Here is a 21,028-nt window from a genome sequence, read left to right as displayed (position 1 = left end):
GCGTTTCTCTCTTCACAGAAAGTTCTCCCGGGCAGCACGCTCCAGGGCGAAGGGCTGGGGAACGGGTGTGTTCCTGGTGGGACTTGCTTAGTGAGTGAGGCAGGCTCTTTCCTTTTTAGTTTTTATTAAAAATGTGCTTCCGGTCCCCAGTGCACGCGTGAATACATTCCTTTCGGTAAATATGAAACTGTAGAGATCAGACCTGTGCTCCCAAGAAGGGGCGTGCCCGGCCCTGCTTCCTGCAGCCCATGTAGCCTGGCCAGGAGCTGGGGTGCTCAGGAGGCCACGGCGCTCCCAGCTGTAGCTTCATCTCTGGCTCTGTCCCATCACTGCCGTGACCCATAGACAAACACGGTGTGCTGGGATGGGCTTGCGGTCTGCGGGACTGTGTTAGACTCCCGTGCCCGCCTCTGTACCAGTGCAGACAACTCTGACTGCATTTCTGTCCCCAGTTTTCTTTTTCTTTTTCTTTTTTTTTTTTTTGAGACCGAGTCTCGCTCTGTCGCCCAGGCTGGGGTGCAGTGGTGCAATCTCGGCTCACTGCAAGCTCCACCTCCCGGGTTCACGCCATTCTCCTGCCTCAGCCTCCCGAGTAGCTGGGACTACAGGCGCCCGCCACCACGCTCGGCTAAGTTTTTGTAATTTTTTTTTTTTTTTTTTAGTAGAGTCGGGGTTTCACCGTGTTAGCCAGGATGGTCTTGATCTCCTGACCTCGTGATCCGCCGGCCTCAGCCTCCCAAAGTGCTGGGATTACAGGTGTGAGCCACCGCGCCCAGCCTTCTGTCCCTGATTTTCTAGCTGTGTGACTCTGGGGAAGTGACTCACTGAACCTTGGCACCTCATCTGTCAAATGGGCTTGGTGCCGGTTACATGAGAGAGCCCACCGCACGGTGCCCCCTTCAGTCCAGTGCCTCCATCTGGAAGGTCTGAACTCGCAGCTTGCGCCAGTTAGAGTAGGCTTGACTGCTTCTAACAAAAACCCCAGTACATCAGGAGCCGAAACTCACCAGGGTTTGTTCGTCTTGGAGGGTTGCAGGTAGGCAGTCTAGAATAGGGGTGACGGTGCCATAGTCTCAGGGACCCAGGTGCACCCAGCTTCTTGTTCTACCTCTTCCATCCTCATGGTCATGGTTCACAATGGCTGCAAGAGCTCCAGCCATCACTTCTTCATTCTAGGCAATAGAGAGGGCTGGGGTGGGGGAAGCTGATTCATTGAAGCCGACTTTTCAGAAGCTCCAGTCACTGTGTTAATTCCTCTTTATTGGCCAGATTCTAGTCACATGGCCTGGCATAGCTCGTGTGGCTCGTGGGGGGCTGTCTGATGGAGTGCTAGCATAGCTGGTAAGGATGCAGGGGAGGATGGAGGATGGGAGGCCCCCAGCCCTGCCCTTGCCCTGTGAGCAGCCAAGCGAAGGACAGAGAGTGAGTGGCAGGCTCATCCTTCTTGGCACACATAAAGAATCTGAAGTTAATGCATGTGTTTTGGGATGTAAGAGGGCATGTTAATCAATGGAAATATTAATACAATCCTCAGGCGCAGTTTCCAAATAGAGGAGAGGAGTCTCAGGGCAGAGTGTTTCTTCCGGCCTCACACACCGTGTGTCTGCCATCTTCTGTAAGGCTGTCTCCCCCTCTTTGCCCAGTCGGACCATCTAGTCTGCAAGCTCTGCGTTCATGTTGTCAGTGACAAGGAGGAAGAGATAGCCGCTGGCTATCTCTTGTGGATGGCACAGCCTTCCATCCTCGCGAACCTGCAGTGGGCACAGATTTGTGCTAGGCGCTGTTCTGAGCACTCTGTGTGGCTCATTGAGGTGGGGCCCATAGCTGGATGGTATTTAGCTCCAGGCTTTGTTTGCTGCAGTAGTTGACCTACCCTGATCCATTTTGCAGATGGAGAAACAGAGGCAGAGAGAGATTGTTAGTTGCTCCCACAGTTAGCAGTGCGAGAACTGAGTTTTGAACCTCCTGCTGAGCTCCAGGACTCAAACTCAGCTCTGTGAGTGGCTTCCAGGCCAGGGACTTGGGGGAGGCCGCTCACATCTTCACCCCCCTTCTGAGGAGGCAATGAGACCAAAACACCCAGCCCAACCTCCCCATGTCCAGATTTGTCTCCACCGGGAGACAGTTCTCGGAATGAGTCAATAACCATCTTCATCAAATGCTTCCTCTGCCAGGCTGGGCCAGCCAAATCCATCCTTCCTCGCGATTGCTAGGGGTGCCTGGAGTTGGGTCCCTACTTTGCAGTTTTGTAATTCAAAGTTAATTTCTTTTTGAGTTCGATGTTCTTACCGGATCAGGTTCATTCCCAATCATTCCTCGTGGGTCCCTGCCCCTTTTAGTGGAAGGTGTGAGTTCTGTGTGGAGATTCTGGGAGCGCAGCTGCCTGCATGCCCACTGGGCCCACAATGGCCTTGCCCTCACCAGATTGTGGGTGCCTGGGTCCCCACACATTTTCAGAACTGCAGGGGCTGCAAAACCAAACCAGGCAAGCGGTTGGAAGTCCGCTCCCGAGGGGGCCTGCTCCTGGCACCTGGTTTGTAGCTGCGTCTGCCTCAGAGGGGTGCAGCGCTGGCAAGGGCGTGGGGACGCCCTCCCAGCGGTTCCCATAGTGGAGGCGCAGACCCACTACAGCCTGCTGCCTTCCACTCCCTGAGTCTTCCTGGGCCGTTAGGTTCAAAGATTCCAGACTTCCAAGGAAGCTCTGGGCTTGGTGCAGGGTGCCTTTGTGTACCAGGTGGTGCTGTGGGGGCCTAGGATGGGCTGGGGGTGGACACCAGGTTGGGGTGGTCACTGCAGTTGGGGGGCGGGTCCTTGTCTGGCTTGGGGGCATCAGGGAAAGGTCTGAGAGGTGAGGGGAGATTTCCAGGGGAAGAGGGTGTGAGGTTGAGTGACCGAGGGCCCCCACTGGGGAAGGACAGGGTGCCCACTGGCCTCGCATGGGGGGTTTCAGCTTTGGGTGTGGCAATGCTGGGGAACGAAGTCTCAGTTTCTAGGGTGGCATTTTCCCTCTGTCTTTTCCTGCTGCGGGTCCAGGCTCACCCCATCTCCGCCCATCTCCTGGCCCCTTGGAGCTCATGCTTTAAGTGGCCGCAAGGACTATGGTGCCACTTCAAAGGGGAGGGCTACCCCTCACTTTAGCCTCCACCCAGTTCCACTCTTTGGGGGGCCAGTGAAGGAAGGGGGGCTTGGTGGGAGGGGTGCCCCCAGACCCTCCCTCCACTCTCTGGGGGAAGGCAGAGAAGGTAGGGGGCGTGGGGTGGGAGGGGCGCCTTCAGACCCTCCCTCCACTCTCTGGGGGAAGGCAGAGAAGGAAGGGGGGTGGGGTGGGAGGGGCGCCTTCAGACCCTCCACTCTCTGGGGGAGGGTGGTGAAGGAAGGGGGGCATGGTGGGAGGGGTGCCCCAGGCCCTCCCTCCACTCTCTGGGGGAGGGCGGTAAAGGAAAGGGGGTGGGGTGGGAGGGGCGCCCCCGGCTCTCCCCACTGTGCCGTCTGTGCCACTGCAGTTGGACTGCCAATGACTGGCATTCTCTTTGTTACTTTCAGCCTGGTTGTTTCAAAACTCATTAGGCTTGGCATTTCTTTACAAAGGCTGGCATGGCCCGAGCCGAGCGGAGAGTGGGAATTGATTTACGAGGATGGCGGTGGATCTAGGAAATGTCAGCGTCCCCTCCAGAGTCCATAAATCAGTTTTGATTCCAGCGAGGCCTTCTCCCATCCCCTAAAACATCTCCCAGGGGGCTTTCCAACGTGGTGGAGCTTAAAGTTAGTCAGCCGAGGAGCTAGTCTCCTGGGTTTGCTGAACCAGCTGGATTAAAGAGCTTTCTCCTGATTCTGTCTCCAGGCCACCAAGGTCAGCTGGGGCGTGGCTGTGAGGTTCCTTCTGTCTTTTGTATGAGGGACAAGTGCCAGCCAGGATCGGCCTGGGCTTGAACCGTGATGGGATGGAGTGACCGGCATCCGGGAGGGGCCTTGGGGAGCAGTGGCCTTCCTCTGGTGTGGCCTGAGGGCTCTGAGCTGGCCTGGTGGGCTTGTTGGCCTGGGCAGGGCAGGGCTTGCTGGGTTCGATGGTCTGTAGGGAGCGAGGATGAATTTGAGGTGCTGGGGCCGCATGTGTCTGTGTGCCCAGCGTGGGCTGGCACCGGCAGCCATCTCCCTGTCGTCACTGCTCTTGGCAACATGTTTGGGGCCTTGGCTGAAGGAGGTATGGACAAGAGAGTGTGGACACCAGAGGGCCACACCAGGTCCTTGTCCCTCCCCCCGCCGCCGGCCAGCCAGGCTGAGGCAGGCCTGAGGGGGCCGAGCAGCATAGCGGCCATCACTCACGGAGGGGCTCGCTGGGCCCAGTGGCAGGCCAGGGTCCCTGCTCCTGCAGGTCTCTATGTCTGTCTGTTGTGAAGGGATGGGACGGGGCGAGGGTCCCCAAAGTGTCTCAGCTGCAGTGACTTGAGTGGCCCCCGGTGTAGAGCCATGGGTCTCCGCACGTCAGAAGGGAGGGCTGAGGACCCAGAGCCTGGCTCCGCAGGGACCCCGCTGCCCCCAGCTCTCCAGGCGCCACTGGGTTTTGTGTCTGTGGTTCTGACTTGTGAGCTGTGCCAGGTTCTGCGGCGTGAGGTCATGGGTGACTTGGGGAGATGTGGATTCCAGTTTTGTGTGCAGAGGTCCAGGGTGTGGGGTCAGTCTCTTGGCCTCAGGGGTGCCTTGAGGCTCCGCCCAACCATGGTCTCATCAGTGTTTTCATGGACCTGGTTTCATTGCCGGCTGATCGGGCCCAGTGGCTCCCACGTCCTTGCAGGATTGAAGCTGGGGGTCCTGGCTGGCTCTCTGCAGCCTTCCTGCTTGGTGCAGTCTGAGCTGTCAGTGGGGCGAGTGGGCAGGGCGGGGGCGGCTCCCCGGAGGACTGTGATGGGCCTAGAACTTGCATTTGGAGCAGGAGGGGCAAATGACATGGCTCACATTGTCAACACCACGATTCCTCCCACACTGGGAGATGTGGCTGCGTTTAATAGAGGTCCCCTCGTGGAAAACAGCCCTGCGTTTCCATCACTGTCTTGGGCATTTTGACCCTGGCAGATAGTGCAGGCACACGGTGATGTGTGCAGGGATGTTTGAAGGTCCCCACAGAGCCCCAGGCCATGGAGGGGCCAGCACCTGTAGCTTTTGGGATCCACGCCACACTGGGGACTGCCGATACCTCCAGACTTACCGTCTGGAAGGTCTAAGGGTCAGGCAGTTTCCTTGTAGGAACCTCTTTCTTTTTTTGTATATTTTGAGACAGGGTCTCACTCTGTTGCCCAGGCTGGATTCAGTGGCGCGATCATGGCTCACTACAGCCTCTACCGCCCAGGCTCAAGAGATCCTCCTACCTCAGCCTCCCAAGTAGCTGGGATTACAGTTGTGTACCACCACGCCCGGCTAATTTCTGTATTTTTTTTTGTAGAGATGGGGTTTCGCCACGTTACCCAGGCTGGTCTTGAACTCTTGGGCTCAAGTGATCCTCCTGTCTCGGCCTCCCAAAGTGCTGGGATTACAGGCGTGTGAGTCACCTCGCCCAGCTATAGGAGCCTCATCTGTGCTGCAGCCCCAGTGATCCACTACAGAGGTGGCTACCCCCCAGGGCTGGTCTTCAGGCCCCATTGTCCATCAGCTCCCCAGATGTCACAGGGCCCTGAGGGTCTTCCAGGTCATTTCTGTGCTGCTTCAGTCTCCAGGCTGGCAGGAAGGAAGGGCAATGGCAGTCGGCAGGGCCTAGGCAGCTGGAGCTGGGGAGAAGGGATGGGCATGTTGGGCTCAGGATGGCATCATGTCCTTGGTAGGCCCCTCCCTGACCCAGAGCTGCTGTTCTTCTTCTTTTGTTTCTTTTTTTTTTTTTTTTTGAGACAGTTTCACTCTGTCACCCAGGCTGGAGTGCAGTGGCACAATCTTGGCTCACTGCAAGCTCTGCCTCCTGGGTTCACACCATTCTCCTGCCTCAGCCTCCCGAGTAGCTGGGACTACAGGTGCCCGCCACCACGCCCGGCTAATTTTTTGTATTTTTTTTTTTAGTAGAGATGGGGTTTCACCGTGTTGGCCAGGCTGGTCTCGAACTCCTGACCTCAGGTGATCCACCCGCCTTGGCCTTCCGAAGTGCTGGGATTACAGGCGTGAGCCACCGCGCCCGGCTGAGCCACTGTTCTGGCTGTGGTGCTGTGAAGTGTGGGCCAGGGCTTGGTGAGTGACTTTGCACAGGGCAGCTGCTCAGAGCCCCCCGCCCTGGGAGAAGCCTCCACGTGTGGTGCTGCCCGTGGCACTGCCCAAGCCACAAGATGCACCCTCTCCCTTCACCAGTGTCCCAAGCGCTCCCTGCATCCCCTCCCTGCCAGGGCCCCAAGTCTGACTGCCCAGTGCAGCAGTGCTGGTGCTGTGGCCCTGTATGGTGGACGAGGGCCAAAAACACCATCATTTACTCAGGCGAAAGAGTATTTTGTGCCTAGAGGCCCAGAGAGGGCTTCTGTTCACACCCCGGTACTCTGGGGCCTTCTTGGGGAGGTGAGCTTCACGGGGCCCTCAGCACTGACTCAGCAGCTTGGACAGTAGTGGTGCATTGAGAAGCTTGCGGGGAGGACGGAGCCCTGGCTGCACACCTGGCACCCGACGGCCCCGTGGCCGGTTGCTGTGTCCTGGGAGCAGCGGGCATGTCGTCCGACTCCACTGGGAGAGGGTGTGCTGCATGCCTGCATGCCTGTGCCCACGTGCCTGGTGCCCACGTTTGGGCTCGGCTGGACACGTGCTTTGTTGCAGGGGCTGCTTTCCTGCAAGTGCATTTGCCGTCCTGAGCCTGCTCACTCATCGAATTCCACGTGGTCGTCTGGGAGTGATTCCGGGTGCTTCCTGGTTTGAATTTCACGGGACCCTGGAGGACATGAACTCAGAAAGTGAGGCGTTGATGGTCGCTTTTATTGGTATATTAGATGCATTGAGGTTTTGAAAGGGAGGACTTGGGATTCTTCTGTGTCTTTTTAATGTCTTAGAGCGTCTAGAAATAGCATTTGCTCTTCAGTTCTCTAGAGGGGTCTCCCAGAAGAACAAAGCTGTGTGTGGCAGAGTGGTTCCCTTTAGAATGCGGAGCTCTGGGGGAGAGCCTGGCGCTTGGGCTGGAGCCGGCCCACCAGGACACGGGCTGGAGCCCCATTCGCTCATCTGTGATTTGGGGCACAGAATTTACCCGGATAGGAAGCAGCTCAAAATACAAGCTGGTTCCACCCCTTTCCCAGTAAGAGGATTTTAAGTTTCTTGGTCAACATGATTTTATAAGCTTTTAGGGATAGATGAAGTAGTTCAACATTTACTTAAATATTTAATTTGCTCAATCGTTTACATCTTTAAAAACATGAAAATAACATGTTCTTGTAAGTTGCCCTTTTTTACTCAGTGTGTGAAATGGGTTTCTTCAAACTCTTCCCCTGGCTTTCAAGCTCAGGGTCTCTGCCTCCCCGAGCCCTCTCCGGGTCTCAGTGTGGACCTGACGAAGTGGATTTTTCTGCCCTCCAGGGACCCCTTTTCCCTCGCCAGCATCCCCCTGTTGAGAATTTTTTCTGACGCTGTTTTTCAGTGACGCCCACGCTTGTGAGATCAGAGCCCTAGGAGCAGGGGTAGACCTTTGCTAAATTTCTTTATGGTTCAAAACCAGGTGAGCCTCTGTGAGCCACCGGACCCGAGGCTGGCTGAGGCCATGTCCGACTTTGTGTCCTGAGAACCCCAGAAAAGGCTTGTGTGCAGCCCCCACCCCCATATTTTCTAAGTGATACAAAACCTCTCCTGACTGGCAGGTGATGTGGCCGTCACATCTCCCGGGATTGTTGTTTCAGCCCCTGTCTTTTGAGCCTGATGTGGGGCTCCAGGGGATGGGGCAGACCTGGCACGCCCTCACAGAGGGAATCCCGGTGCAGGGTGGGCATGGGACCCTGAGCCGGGAGCACCACCCAGCGTGGGGTAGAGGAAGGGGCCCGAGGGACAGTGCAGCGGGGAGGGAAGGAGCCCTGTGAAACCACCGAAATGTACTGGAACCGAAATGAGGCTGGAAGTCTGAGATCAGGGTGGCGGCGGGGCTGGTGCCTTCTGGGGCACAGGGAGACTGTGTCCCGGGGCACTCTCCTGGGCTTGCAGACGGCGTCTTCTCTTTTTGTATTCTTGTCGTCTTTCCTCTGTGCCTATCTCTGTGTCCAAACTACCTCTTTTTTTTTTTTTTTTTTCCTGGGGCAGGGTTTCGCTCTTGTTGCCCAGGCTGGAGTGCAGTGGCCTGATCTTGGCTCACTACAACCTCTACTTCCCGGGTTCAAGTGATTCTCTTGCCTTAGCCTCCCTAGTAGCTGGGATTACAGGTGTGCATCACCACACCCAGCTAATTTTGTATTTTTAGTAGAGATGGGGTTTTACCACGTTGGCCAGGCTGGTCTTGAACTCCTGACCTCAAGTGATCCATCCACCTGTCTTGGCCTCCCAAAGTGCTGGGGTTACAGGCGTGAGCCATTGCGCCTGGCAAACTTCCTCTTTTTATAAGGACACGGGTCATATTGGATTAGGTCCCACCCCAGTGACAACATTTTAACTTGATTTCTCTTTGAAGTCTCTGTACAAGTAAGGTTAAATTCTGAGGTCCTGGGGATTAGCACCCCTATGTATCTTTTTTGAGGGGACACAGTTCAACCCGAAACACTCCCTCATTTTTCTTTTGAGCAGATGTGTGTCTTCCCCTGCACCAAATGTGGGAACCTGTCTGCAGCCTGCACCCCAGCACCCCTGGCCTCTGGATACCCTGGGGGGTTTGTGGGTGAACATTTTCTCTACTGGAGCTCTGGGAGAACAGAAACATCTCAATGTGGGAGTCTCCCCGCTTCCAGTGCTGGCCGCATTTCAGGCTCCGCAAATCTGGGGATGTGGTAGCCCCAAGGCCGCAGCCGTGTCTGCATGGAGGAGGTTTGGTCAAATTCAGAGGGCTCTGCCTTCGTGGGGCCAGGTGTCCTGTGTCCTGCAGCAGAGGCTTCTGACATGTCCCAGGCCCTGTGCATGTTGTGTGGATTGTCCTGCGTGGTCCTCACACGTCCGACGCAGATGCCCGTTCCTATCCCAGTGTATAGACAATGAAGTTGGGTCTCAGGGAGGCCAATTGCAGGGGGAGCTGATGGGCCTGGCCTTAAATTGGGTCTTCCTGGGTCCAAGTCTGTGATCTCCATGGTCCTGACGAAACTGTGTCACTTTTGGCCCAGAGAGGTGGGGGTGGGAGGTTCTGGTCTGACCTGTAGGACATGGAGGCTCGGAGCATCCACAGAGTCTCCTGACGTGCAGACCACTAAGGCAGGCAGAGATGTGTGGTAGGAGGAGGTGCATGGTAGGGACGTCGGCCCATCTCCTTTGGCCTCTGGAGCGCAGCTGTCCTCCCCACCCCCAGCCCCCTCCGATGGTGGTGGCACATTGCCACTGACCCCATCGGCCCGTCTCCTGGGAAAAGGTAGAATGTGGCAGTGGGCGCTGGGGTTCCAGAGTCAGGGACAGCAGGGCTGTCTGTGCTTACGGGAGGGCCTGGTGTCAGAACAGTGGGGGAAATAAATACCCCAGGAGGGATGGGCCCAGCCCAGTGCCTACAGACCTAGGTAGAGTCACCAGGCCGGGCCGGCAGGAGCCCCTCAGGGCAGCTCCGGGCCCTTGCTGGAGGGCAGGAGAGGCCCCTGCGGCTCAGGGCCAGCCTCCCCATGTGGGCTCTCTGGCAAGGTAGTTGGACTTTTTTATGTGGCACCCACGGAAGCTTCTAGGCCTCATGAGACCAGGCTCGAGGTGGTGCCATGGCTCTCCCGACAGGCTCCCCTGGTCAGAGCCACCACAGGCCATGCTGGATCCGGGGAGGACACAGACCCTGCCTCTTGATGGGAGGAGTCTCAGAGAGTGTGCAGCCATCTTTACTCTGCCTCAGGGTCCCTGTCACAAACGGGGAATAACCATGCCTCTTCTGAGGCTCGGGAGGAGACGATCTGAGGAGACCCGTGGGGAGTGGGTAGCCGGCCTGTTGAATGGCAAGCGCCCAATAAATGGTCGCCATTGTGACCACTGGGCCCCCGGAGTGGTGCTTTTACATGAAATGTTCCTAAAACTGGGCCATGGTTTTCAATATCAGTTGAGAGTGTTGGGGCTAAGGCCCTTGGCCCCCTTAAGGTTCACTGGAAAATCAGACAGGAGAGGCTGGGCACGGTGGCTCATGCCTATGATATCAGCACTTTGGGAGGCTGAGGCGGGCAGATCACCTGAGGTCAGGAGTTGGAGACCAGCCTGGCCAAAACGGTGAAACCCCGTCTCTACTAAAAATACAAAAATTAGCCGGGCGTGATGACACGCACCTGTAATCCCAGCTTCTCGGGGGAGCTGAGACAGGAGAATTGCACGAACCCGGGAGGCGGAGGTTGCAGTGAGTTGAGATCCTGCCACTGCACTCTAGCCTGGGCGACAGAGCAAGACCCTGTCTCAAAAATACATAAATAAATAAATAAATAAATAAATAAATAAATAAATAAATCAAGACAGGAGGTAGATTGATTAATTGGAGAAAAGGCAAGGCGATTGAACATTTATACAGGGGAACATTCTAAATAAAGTCCCAAAGATAGGGGAAATTGCTCATTTTTATGTGCAAGTTCCACAAAGCATGGGCAGGCAGATGAGCCTGGATTCTTACTGGCCTCTCTGAGCCGCGCCCCTTCCTTCTGGGTGTGGGGCAGGACCCTCTCTGGAATGGTGGGTCTTATGACCTACAGTCAAACAAGGTAGGTCAGGGAATTTCTTTATGGCCAGTTTTTATACAGATAGGGTGGAGGGACAGTTAGAGTATTATTTTTAGGTTTGATGACTGGCTTTAGGGGAAAGGGGTTCTGGTTTCTAAGACCTGCTTGGGGGAAGAGGCATTCTAGTTTCTATGGCCAGCTCCAGGGGAGAATGGAACTAGTGACAGGAGGGCCTTCATGTTGGAGTGTTTTCTGAGCCCCAGTATTACCAGGGGGCCTCAGGAGTGGCTTTTTTCATGAAATGTTCCTAAAATGGGTCCATGGTTTTACTTTTCTTTTCTTTCTTTCTTCTTTGGTTTTTTTGAGACAGGGTCTTACTCTGTCACCCAGGCTGGAGTGCAGTGGTGTAATCGTGGCTCATTGCAGCCTTGATCTGTGGGTTCCAGTGATCCTTCCTGCCTTCGCCTCCCGAGTAGCTGGGACCACAGGCATGTGCCACTATGCCCAGCTATTTTTATTTATTTATTTATTTATTTTTTTTGAGATGGAGTCTTGCTCTGTCGCCCAGGCTGGAGTGCAGTGGTGCAATCTCGGCTCACTGCAAGCTCCGCCTCCCGGGTTCACGCCATTCTCCTGCCTCAGCCTCCCAAGTAGCTGGGACTACGGGTGCCCGCCACCACGCCCAGTTAATTTTTTGTACTTTTAGTAGAGATGGGGTTTCACTGTGTTAGTCAGGATGGTCTCGACCTCCTGACCTCGTGATCCACCCGCCTCGGCCTCCCAAAGTGCTGGGATTACAGGCATGAGCCACCACGCCCGGCACACCCAGCTAATTTTTAAATTTTTGGTAGAGGCCAGGCATGGTGGCTCATGCATGTAATCCCAGCACTTTGGGAGGCCGAGGTGGGTGGATCGCCTGAGGTCAGGAGTTCGAGACCAGCCTAGTCAACGTGGTGAAACGCGGTCTCTACTACAAAAATTAGCTGGGTATGGTGGCAGGTGCCTGTAATCCCAGCTTCTTGCTACTTGGGAGGCTAAGGCATGAGAATCGCTTGAACCCAGGAGGCAGAGATTGCGGTGAGCTCAGATCGTGCTATAGGACTCCAGCCTGGGTGACAGAGCGAGACCCCATCTCATAAATAAATAAATAAAATATATTAAATTTTTGGTAGAGTTGGGGTCTCACTATGTTGCCAAGACTGGTCTCAAACTCCTGGGCTCGAGTGATCCACTCACCTCGGCCTCCCAAAGTGCTGGGGTTACAGGTATGAACCACTGCACCCGGCCTGAGGAGTCCCAGCTCCCCATGGGTCTCCTCAGGTCGTCTCCTCCTGGGCCTTGGAAGAGACATTGTTATTCCGCGTTTGTGATGGGGACCCTGAGGCAGACTAAAGATACCCACAAACTCTCTGTGATTCCTCTCATCAAGAGGAAGGGTCTGGGCCTGGCGCGGTGGCTCACGCCTGTAATCCCAGCACTTTGGGAGGCCGAGGCGGGCGGATCACGAGGTCAGGAGATCGAGACCATCCTGGCTAACGTGGTGAAACCCCATCGCCACTAAAAATACAAAAAATTAGCCGGGCGTGGTGGCGGGTGCCTGTAGTCCCAGCTATTGGGGAGGCTGAGGCAGGAGAATGGTGAGAACCCTGGAGGCGGAGCTTGCAGTGAGCCGAGATTGCGCCACTGAACTCCAGCCTGGGAGACAGCGAGACTCCGTCTCAAAAAAAAAAAAAAAAAAAAAAAAAGGCAGGGTCTGCATCCTCCCTGGATCCGACACGGCCTGTGGTGGCTCTGACCAGGGGAACCTGCCAGGAGAGCCACAGCACCAGCTCAGGCCTGGCCTCATGAGGCCTGGAAGCTTCCCCGGGCACCACATAAAAAGTCCAGCTACCTCGCCATTCAACTGATGATTTTAAATACCAGTTGAGGGGATTAAAAATGATCTTTTTATTTATTTTTTATTTTTTTGAGGCAGAGTCTCGCTGTGTCGCCCAGGCTGGAGTACAGTGGCACGATCTCGGCTCACTGCAATCTCTGCCTTCTGGGTTCAAGTGATTCTCCTGCCTCAGCCTCCTGAGTAGGTGGGATTACAGGCACCTGCCACCACGCCTGGCTGATTTTTGTATTTTTTTTTTAGTAGAGACAAGGTTTTGCCATGTTGGCCAGGCTGGTCTTGAACTCCTGATGTCAGGTGATCCGCCCACCTCAGCCTCCCAAAGTGCTGGGATTACAGGTGTGAACCACCACATCCGCCCTAAAAAGTCTCTTTCTGTTGAGGGTCTGGCGTTGTGGAGAAAGCGCTGGACTCAGCCTTGGAGCCCCTCTGGCCACCCTGTCGGCTGCCGGTGACACTAGATCAACCTGTGCCCGCCCGGCCTCAGTTTCCTTCTCTGTGCTTTGCAGCCCGGGGCAGGCCCATCTCCGAGGTCCCTCCCAGCCTCAGGGTACCCGGATGCAGTATGTTGGAAGAGCTTGGGATTTTCAAAGGGGGAAGTGATCGTGGCCTTCCCTGGTAGGAGGCTTTGCGTGGTCTGTCTGGGCAGAGTGTCCCTAAGCCCTGCTGGGCCCCTTCCAACCACCAGCAAGCCAGCTGCCTGTCTCTGCCTTCACAGGTTTTCTGAAGTTGGTGGGTGCTGGACGCTTCTGAAGAGGAGTTTTAATTGGCAGAGGCTGCTGTCTCCCTGGCAGGGAGACATTCTGGAGGCCTGGGGGCGGGTTGTTTTTTCTTCACTCCATTAATACCAGTGACCTTTTTGCCTCCAGCGTTAATTAAATACAGACATTTCAGGCATCTGCATGGTCATGGTCTGGCATTATCTTGACCTTAGGCGACTTGGAAATTCCATATTTGGCCTTCACTAAACGAGGCATAGAAGAGCAATCATGGACGATCTGGAAATGGAGGGCTTAGAGCCACACCTTTTGGCCACCCAGAGGGGGGCCTGTGTTGCTGCGGAGGTGGGGAGACAGCAGAGCTCTCTGGCTTGACCACCATGGATGAAGCTGGGCTCAGCTCTGGGCTGGGGGAGACAGGAAGGAGCTCACCCTCCTGGGACCCAGTTTCGTTCAAGGAGACACAGCCCAGCCATCTGGGTAACAGGTGATGAATGGGAGGTAGGGGTGGAAGATGTCTTGAGGGATGGGCCAGATGGTGGGTTACAGGGGGGCAGAGCAGGGCTGTGGGTGTGAGCCCAGATGTGAGGCTCCCTACCTGGGTGTGCCCTGTGCTGGGCTCCTGACCCAGTGAGAGGCTGAGGCTGGCACCCGCCTGGACGCCTCTGCCACTTGGGCGGAAGGAGGGGGACTTAGTCTCTTGCTGCTGCTCAAAGGAGCGGCTTTCTTCCCGAGTGTCAGCTCATTTTCCCGCGTCCTTCAGCAATAACCAGCATGTGCCGATAGGCTCCCGAGTCGCTTCCTAGTGCTGCGTTCTCACAAGCCCAACATCTGTTTCGGTTGGGATTTTTTTTTGAGATGGAGTCTCGCTCTGTCGCCCAGGCTGGAGTGCAGTGGCACGATGTCGGCTCACTGCAAGCTCCGCCTCCCGGGTTCACACCATTCTCCTGCCTCAGCCTCCCGAGTAGCTGGGACTACAGGCGCCCGCCACCACGCCGGGCTAATTTTTTGTATTTTTAGTAGAGACGGGGTTTCACCATGTTAGCCAGGATGGTCTTGATCTCCTGATCTCGTGATCCGCCCGCCTCGGCCTCCCAAAGTGCTAGGATTACAGGCGTGAGCCACTGTACCCGCCTGGTTGGATTTTTTTTTGAAGTTTCTTAAGCAAAAGACAAGAAAAGAAAATGTCATTTATATTAATATCAACTTTTCTTCGTAAACACAATTCTAGACACAGCTGGTAGAATTTCTGAAATCAAACCAGAATGGAATTACAGTGTTGCTTATGTGAATGAAGTGGCGCTCGGATCCAATGAAATGAGCAACTGCCCTCTGAGAGTGACCTGAACAACAGTTTGAAAGTTTCGCATAGTGGAGCCAATGACGAAAGTTGCCTAGATCTGACGCTGCGAGAGTGGCTGTCGTCCCCACGTTTCGACCTGCTCTAACGTTTATAAAGATTTTATTCTTTTTTATTTTATTTATTTATTTTTTTGAGACTGAGTCTCACTCTGTTGCCCAGGCTGGAGTGCAATGGCGCGATCTTGGCTCATTGCAACCTCTGCCTCCCGGGTTCAAGAGATTCTCCTGTCTCAGCCTCCTGAGTAGCTGGGATTACAGGCACCTGCCACCATGCCCATCTAATTTTTGTACTTTTAGTAGAGGCGGGGTTTCATTGTGTTGGCCAGGCTGGCGTGAACTCCTGACCTCAAGTGATCCGCATGCCTCGCGCTCCCAAAGTGCTGGGATTATAGGCGTAAGCCACTGCGCCCGACCTACTAACGTTAATAAAGATTTTAGTGTTATGCTCGTTAAGAGTCATCACCACTCCCTAATCTTAAGTACCCAGGGACACAAACACTGCGGAAGGCCGCAGGGTCCTCTGCCTAGGAAAACCAGAGACCTTTGTTCACTTGTTTATCTGCTGACCTTCCCTCCACTATTGTCCTATGACCCTGCCAAATCCCCCTCTGCGAGAAACACCCAAGAATGATCAATTAAAAAAAAAAAAAAAAAAAAAGATTTTAGTGTGGCTGCCAATTAAGAAGGCCGAGAACCAGACAACTCTGGCCTTACAAGACAGTTTTTTGCCAGTGTGTAGAAAGCTGATGTTCTTGCTCTTTTTAAAGTAGCAGCATTGTTGAGATGCAGTTGACACACCATGGGGTTCGCCCGTTTGAAGTGTGCAGTGCAGGGGTTTTCAGTGTATTCACAAGGCCATGTATCCACCACTAATTTTAAAACGCTTTCATTACCCCCAAAAAGAAACCCCAACCCATTAGCAGTAACTCCTCATCCCCCCCAAATTTCCCCAGCCCCTGGCAGCCACTAATTCAAATTGCTGTGGATTTGCCTGGTCTGGAAACTTCCTATAAATGGAATGTCACAATAGATTGTCCCTGTGCCTGGCTGGCACCCGCTGGCACGTTGCGGTGAGAATCAGAGCTTCTCTCCTTTTCACGTCGGCGTGATAGTCCATAGTGGCTCCACCGCAATTTGTTTGCCCATTCATCTGTTGACGGACATTTGAGTTGCTCATTTACATTTTTATTTTTTATTTTTGCAGGGTAATTATAGATGCGCACGGCAGAAAGAGTCATGTTACAGACAGGCTTGAAATGAATGGTGGCCTCCTGCCTCCCCGACCCCAGCCCCGCCAGGCCTCCCCCAGGAGCTGCACCTATAACTGTGTCTTTAATTCTCCTGCGGTCACCTTTGGAGCCCTCAGAGATCTCCATAGAGCCCAGCCCTTGATTCCCTGCTTTCAACACCTGTTGACTCTTTGCTGTAGGAGTTGAGCCCCTGTCCCCCTCCCCTGCCCCTTGTGCTGGTGTCATTCTCCTGCGGGCGGCCCTCGGTGCCTCGGCTTGGAGCTTGACTCCCTCTTTCTTGCCGCCCTCTCCCACACCATCTCCGGACGCCCCCCACGCGATCTTCAGAACATCAACCCCTGCCCTTCCTCCTGCCTCCCACGTCAACAGCGGTGACACCGATGGCCAGGGCTCTGTGTTCCGCCTGTGCTGTCTCCTGTCCTTTACCCCAGGGTCTAGGGCCGGTGAGGGCTAGCAGAGTGCTCAGCTCTGGACCCTGCCTAGGGTCATAGCGTCATGGCAGGCCCTGCTGGGGGACAGGCTGCTGTTTCACCTCAGGGGCCCCAAGTCTGGACTTCTTTCTCTGGGGGTCCAGGGTGGGCGCCAGGATCTGGAGCCTCTTGGGGTGCCCTGTGTTCTGGGGAGAGGCCCACAGCCTTCCTTAGATTCCTGGAGGGGTTTGTGGTCCCCTTGGGGTTAAGGATCTGCCTGAGACGGTGGGGAAAGGGCTGGCCCCTCCTCCTCCTGGGAGCCTGTGAACCCTGCTGGGCCCTCATGCCTCCCTGGACAGAGGGCAACTGTGGCAAAATTTCCCAACAGCCGCCTTGTGCAGGGTCACCCGGGGAGCTCTGGGGTTTCTGGGGGCCTCTCCTTTGGGCTCAGAGGGCGTAAAGGCGGTTTCCACCTTTATTGGGCCCTGTGATCCTTGTGGCTCCTGTGGCCACAGTGTTCCTGTTGGTTTTGTGGATGGATGCACCCAGCCGCCTCTCCTGTCACCAGCCTTTGTTGAAGGAGCTTAGGTCTCCTTCTTGGGTCAGTTGCACCAGGTCTGGGTCTGGCTGCAGCCGGTGCTGATGGCCGGCACCATCCCTGGCCAGGCCGGGCCCCGGCTCCCCCATCCTTGGGAAAGGGTGGAACCCTGTGTGTCCACGGTCCCTGGATCCCTCACAGTGCACTTTAGAGCGGACATGGTGGTGGCAGTGGGTACTGTGGCGGATCCAGCGAGGTGACCTCTAGGGTCTCACCCGTGCAGCTTCCCTGAATTCTGACGGGCAGTGGAGGCGGGGAGTGGGGGATGGATTCTCAGCCATGGGCTGTGGGGTGGATGTCATGCTGCTTGGCGGGGTGGCCTTGGGCCCGTTACTGTCTTCCTTCTCCCCGAGCCTCAGTTTCTGCAGATGTAAGGTGGAGATTACGACAGAACTTTCCAGAGGTCTGTGAGGATCCGTGAGGTCCAGTAAAGCATTCAACTGTGTGTGTGGTACACGTGGGCGCCCGACTCTCGCCGCTGCTGTGTGGGTCAGGTGCGGTGGGTTTCAGGGGCGGTAGTTGGACTCTGGCTTCTCTGCCACTTGCTGCGATGCTGGGCCTCGGTCATCGCGGCTGTGGGTGGAATCACCGTCCCGCCACCCTCCGAGGTTCAGGCAATGAAAGCTGCCGTGTGGCGACGGAGGAAGGCTTGGGCTCCTCCTGGCCTTGGCTGGGCTGGGTGCTCGCCCCTGTTCTGCAGGCACCGTTGACTTCCTGCAAACTCCGTTTCTTGAAGGTGACCTTTGGAGCTGGCCGGAGTGGGTGTCGGCCATCTTGGCTCCTTTGTCTAGATTTTGCTTTTATGAAGGCCGGGGAGGGAGGGCTCGCCCCTGGTAGGCGGCCGTGCGGGGCAGGTCCCTTGCCACCTGAGGACCCCAGAGTTGTCGCTAGGGCCTCCTCCTCCACGCTGCCCCACCGTGGCGCTGCCCGACTGTGGGACCGAGGACCAGCTGAGGCCCAGCTGCTGTTGCCGCCGCCTTCGCCACCCGAGCCTCCTTCCTTCTTTCCTCCCTCCCTTTCTCCTTCTTCCCTTCCTCTTCAGCCCTCTCCACCCTCCACCCTGCAGCTGTGGGGCCTTTGTGTGACCCCTCCACAGCCTGAAGGCACCTGGCTGTCAGACTCCCACCTTTAGAGGCCTGTGGATTTGGGAGGGTGGCAAGAGGAGTCTTCGCGGGAGGTGGGACTCAGGCTGTCTGGTAAGTGCCCAGATCGGACTCAGAGCCATAGATCTTGGACCGTGCTGTCCTCTGAGAGAAAGGGCAGCTGAGTCCGCCTTACTGCGTGTCTAAGGGCCAGGGCCCCTCACCGCCCAGCAAAACCTGCTCCTCACGACCAGGAAGATGGTGTTCCTGGTCTCACTTTGAAGTCTTTTTGTGAGACATCATCCTGATGATAATTCTGGGGGTGGGCTCGGGCAAGTTCCCCGTGGATGGAGACCGCTTGGCTCTTTCTTTCCCCCTTACAAGAACCTGGAATGCTTTTTATTGCCAAGGCTGGGCCAGGTCCGCTTTTCTCGTCTGCAATGGCCTCTGAGCTGAAGCCTGGCCCGGATTCGCCCCTCCTCTTGCATCTCTGGCCTGTGAGTCCTCTCCTCCCTCTAGCCCTGCAGCTCAGCCTGCCCTGCCCTCCTGAGCTCCTTGTGCCCCTGTGTCCCTGTTGGAGCCGAAGGACAGTTGTCTCTGCTGGACTCTGACGCCCGATTCAGGCACGGAGACCCAGGAGGGACGGCCAGGCGGGTTAGGTGCTCGGCTGCCCTTTGGCCGAGCCCTGCATGGGGCCCAGGGATTGATGCAGATTGATTTTTGCTGACCCCTGGGATGATCTTGGCCAAGTGACTTAATTCTGTCTCCTCCCCAGTGTGCTTATAGACAGAGGTGTGTGCACTGGTAAGGGTGCTCTAATGAGTGTCAGCTTTCACTCCCCACCTCCTCAGCCCCCACATTTCCAAAATAAACAGAGGCTTGTTTGTGTTCAAAGGACACTCCTGGCTCACAAAGCCCTGCAGCCCTGCGGAAGCACCAGGAGGCCTCACTTCCTAGCAGCACAGCCCCATGCAGCCAACCCGGGACACCTGTTCCCACTGGCACCTGAGCAGGCCCCTTGCTGATCCCCACCCCTCCCCTCATCTCCCCTTTATCCCCCTCTACCCCTCCCCTGCACCACTGGCCTCTGTTCCATCATCCCCCACCCCGCCCTTGGGTCCCTTCCACCCCGTACCCAATGCCCCCATCCCTCTCCTTCCCCCTCCTCCCCACACCCCACCTCTTTCATCCCTTTCGTCTCCCCACACCCCTGGCACCCCGTCCTTTGTCCCTCTCCTCCATCCCCTTTTCCTCTCTCCCTCTCTCTCCACCTCTCCCCCGAATGCCTTGGTCCACTCATCCACTACTTTTACCCCTCTCCTCCATTCTCACTCCACGCCCTCTATCCCCACCTCTCCCAACTCCATCCCCATGCCTCCCCTCCATCCCTCCTCTCCATCCCCTTCCATCCCTCTCCCTCCATCCCCCTCCATCCCTCTCCCTCCCTCCCCTCCATACCTCTCCTTCCATCCCTCTCCATCGCTCCCCCTCCCTGCCTCTCCTCCATGCCTCCTCTCCATCCCTCCCCTCCATCCCTCCCCCTTCATCCCTCCCCTTCCATTCCTCCTCTTCATCCCTCCCGCTTCCCCCTCCATCCCTCCCCCATCCCCCGCCCTCCCTCCCCTCCATCCCTCTCCTTCTTTCCCCTCCCTCCCTTCCCTCCTTCCCCTCCATCCCTTCCCTCCATACCTCGCCTTCCATCCCTCTCCATCCTTCCCCCTCCATGCCTCCCCTCCATCCTTCTCCTCTATCTGTCCCCCTTCATCCCTCCCCCTCCATCCCTCCTCTTCATCCCTCCTCTTCATCCCTCCCCTTCCGTCCCCCCTCCATCCCCCCTCCATCTCCCCTCCATCTCCCTTCCCTCCCCCTCCATCCCTCCCCTTTATCCCTCCCCCTTCATCCCTTCCCTTCTATTCCTCCCCTCTGTCTCCCCCTCCATCCCCCATCCCTTCCCTCCATCCCTCCCCACCACCCTCCCCCCCATCCCTCCTGCTGAGAGTGGGAGGGAGGGAGGGAGAAGAAGCTGGAGCTGGAGACTGTGTTCCTGAGGGTGGCGTGAGTGCCGGGCCCTGGCAGCCCCCTGCACCCTTGTCCCCCGGGCCTCTGCTTGCTGAGCACCTTGAGCAGGGCTCTGGTGCTCCCTTGCAAGAGCCTTGGAGAGAAAATCTTCTTTGCCTTTTTTACATTTTTCACTCCTCTACCTTATTTCATTTAACTTCCCCACTTCAGACCAGAAAATGCCCAAATAGATATTAGAAGACCTTAAAGTATTTTTGTTTATCAGGTGTGAAAGGTGGCAGGTCCTTGCCAGTTTGCAGGGATGGGTGGCTGGCAGTGAGGTAGCAAGAGAGATGCCCCTCCGTAGTGCCCACATCCCAGGCAGTGCCATAGTCCCCACAAGCAGCTCAGGCGTGCTGAATATCTCACTCTGCCGTCACCAGCGTGCGGCTTCCACCTAAGTGCTTCAAGGTAGCTGCTGAGCTCCTGCCATCTCGTCCGTGTTCCATGCAGCAGGAAAGAAGCAGGGGAGGCAGCTGTTTCCTTTTAAGTGCATGACCCTTCCTCACCTCCCCTTCCTTTCTTACACAGTGTCCAGAGCGTGGTTCTGGGGCCATTCCTTTCTGCAAGGGAGGGTGGGGAGTGCTGTCTTTAGCAGGCAGTCCTGAGCCATCAAGCATCTGCCTCTCATGGACAAAGGGGAGAGGGACTCTAGGGGGTGGTGGGGGGCGGTCGTCTTTGCTCCAGCTAGGGAGAGCCGTGGCCCCTTGACCCTCGGCACTTTTCCCATTTCTGCTCTCCCAAGTGGTTTCTTCCTGCACCTCTTGGAAGGAAGAAATGTAGTCCGGGGCTGGGAAGCTGCAGTCCGTGCTCACTCCTGGACTCACAGCCACGATTCCTCCTGGTTGCCCCACGGCCTGCGTGAGACGCGCCGTCAGTCCCTCTGTGACAGGCAGCAAGGCTCCGTGTG

General features: G+C 56.2%; 1 protein-coding gene across 9 annotated transcripts in view, besides 1 other annotated feature; it reads left to right on the top strand.

Moving 5' to 3' along the window:
• The window catches only part of VAV2 (vav guanine nucleotide exchange factor 2), a 230,431-nt gene that overhangs the window by 81,018 nt on the left and 128,385 nt on the right, over positions 1 to 21,028 (top strand). The window lies entirely within an intron of this gene.
• Positions 8,365 to 8,434: an enhancer, noted in NCBI's record as "active region_29255". NCBI's record gives its function as "activates an Ori minimal core promoter by ATAC-STARR-seq in GM12878 lymphoblastoid cells {active_cell/tissue: GM12878}" and the evidence as "EXISTENCE:reporter gene assay evidence [ECO:0000049][PMID:35858748]".

This window comes from Homo sapiens, chromosome 9 (assembly GCF_000001405.40).
Source record: "Homo sapiens chromosome 9, GRCh38.p14 Primary Assembly".
NCBI classification, from domain to species: domain Eukaryota; kingdom Metazoa; phylum Chordata; class Mammalia; order Primates; family Hominidae; genus Homo; species Homo sapiens.
This window is presented reverse-complemented; position numbering and strand designations above follow the sequence as displayed.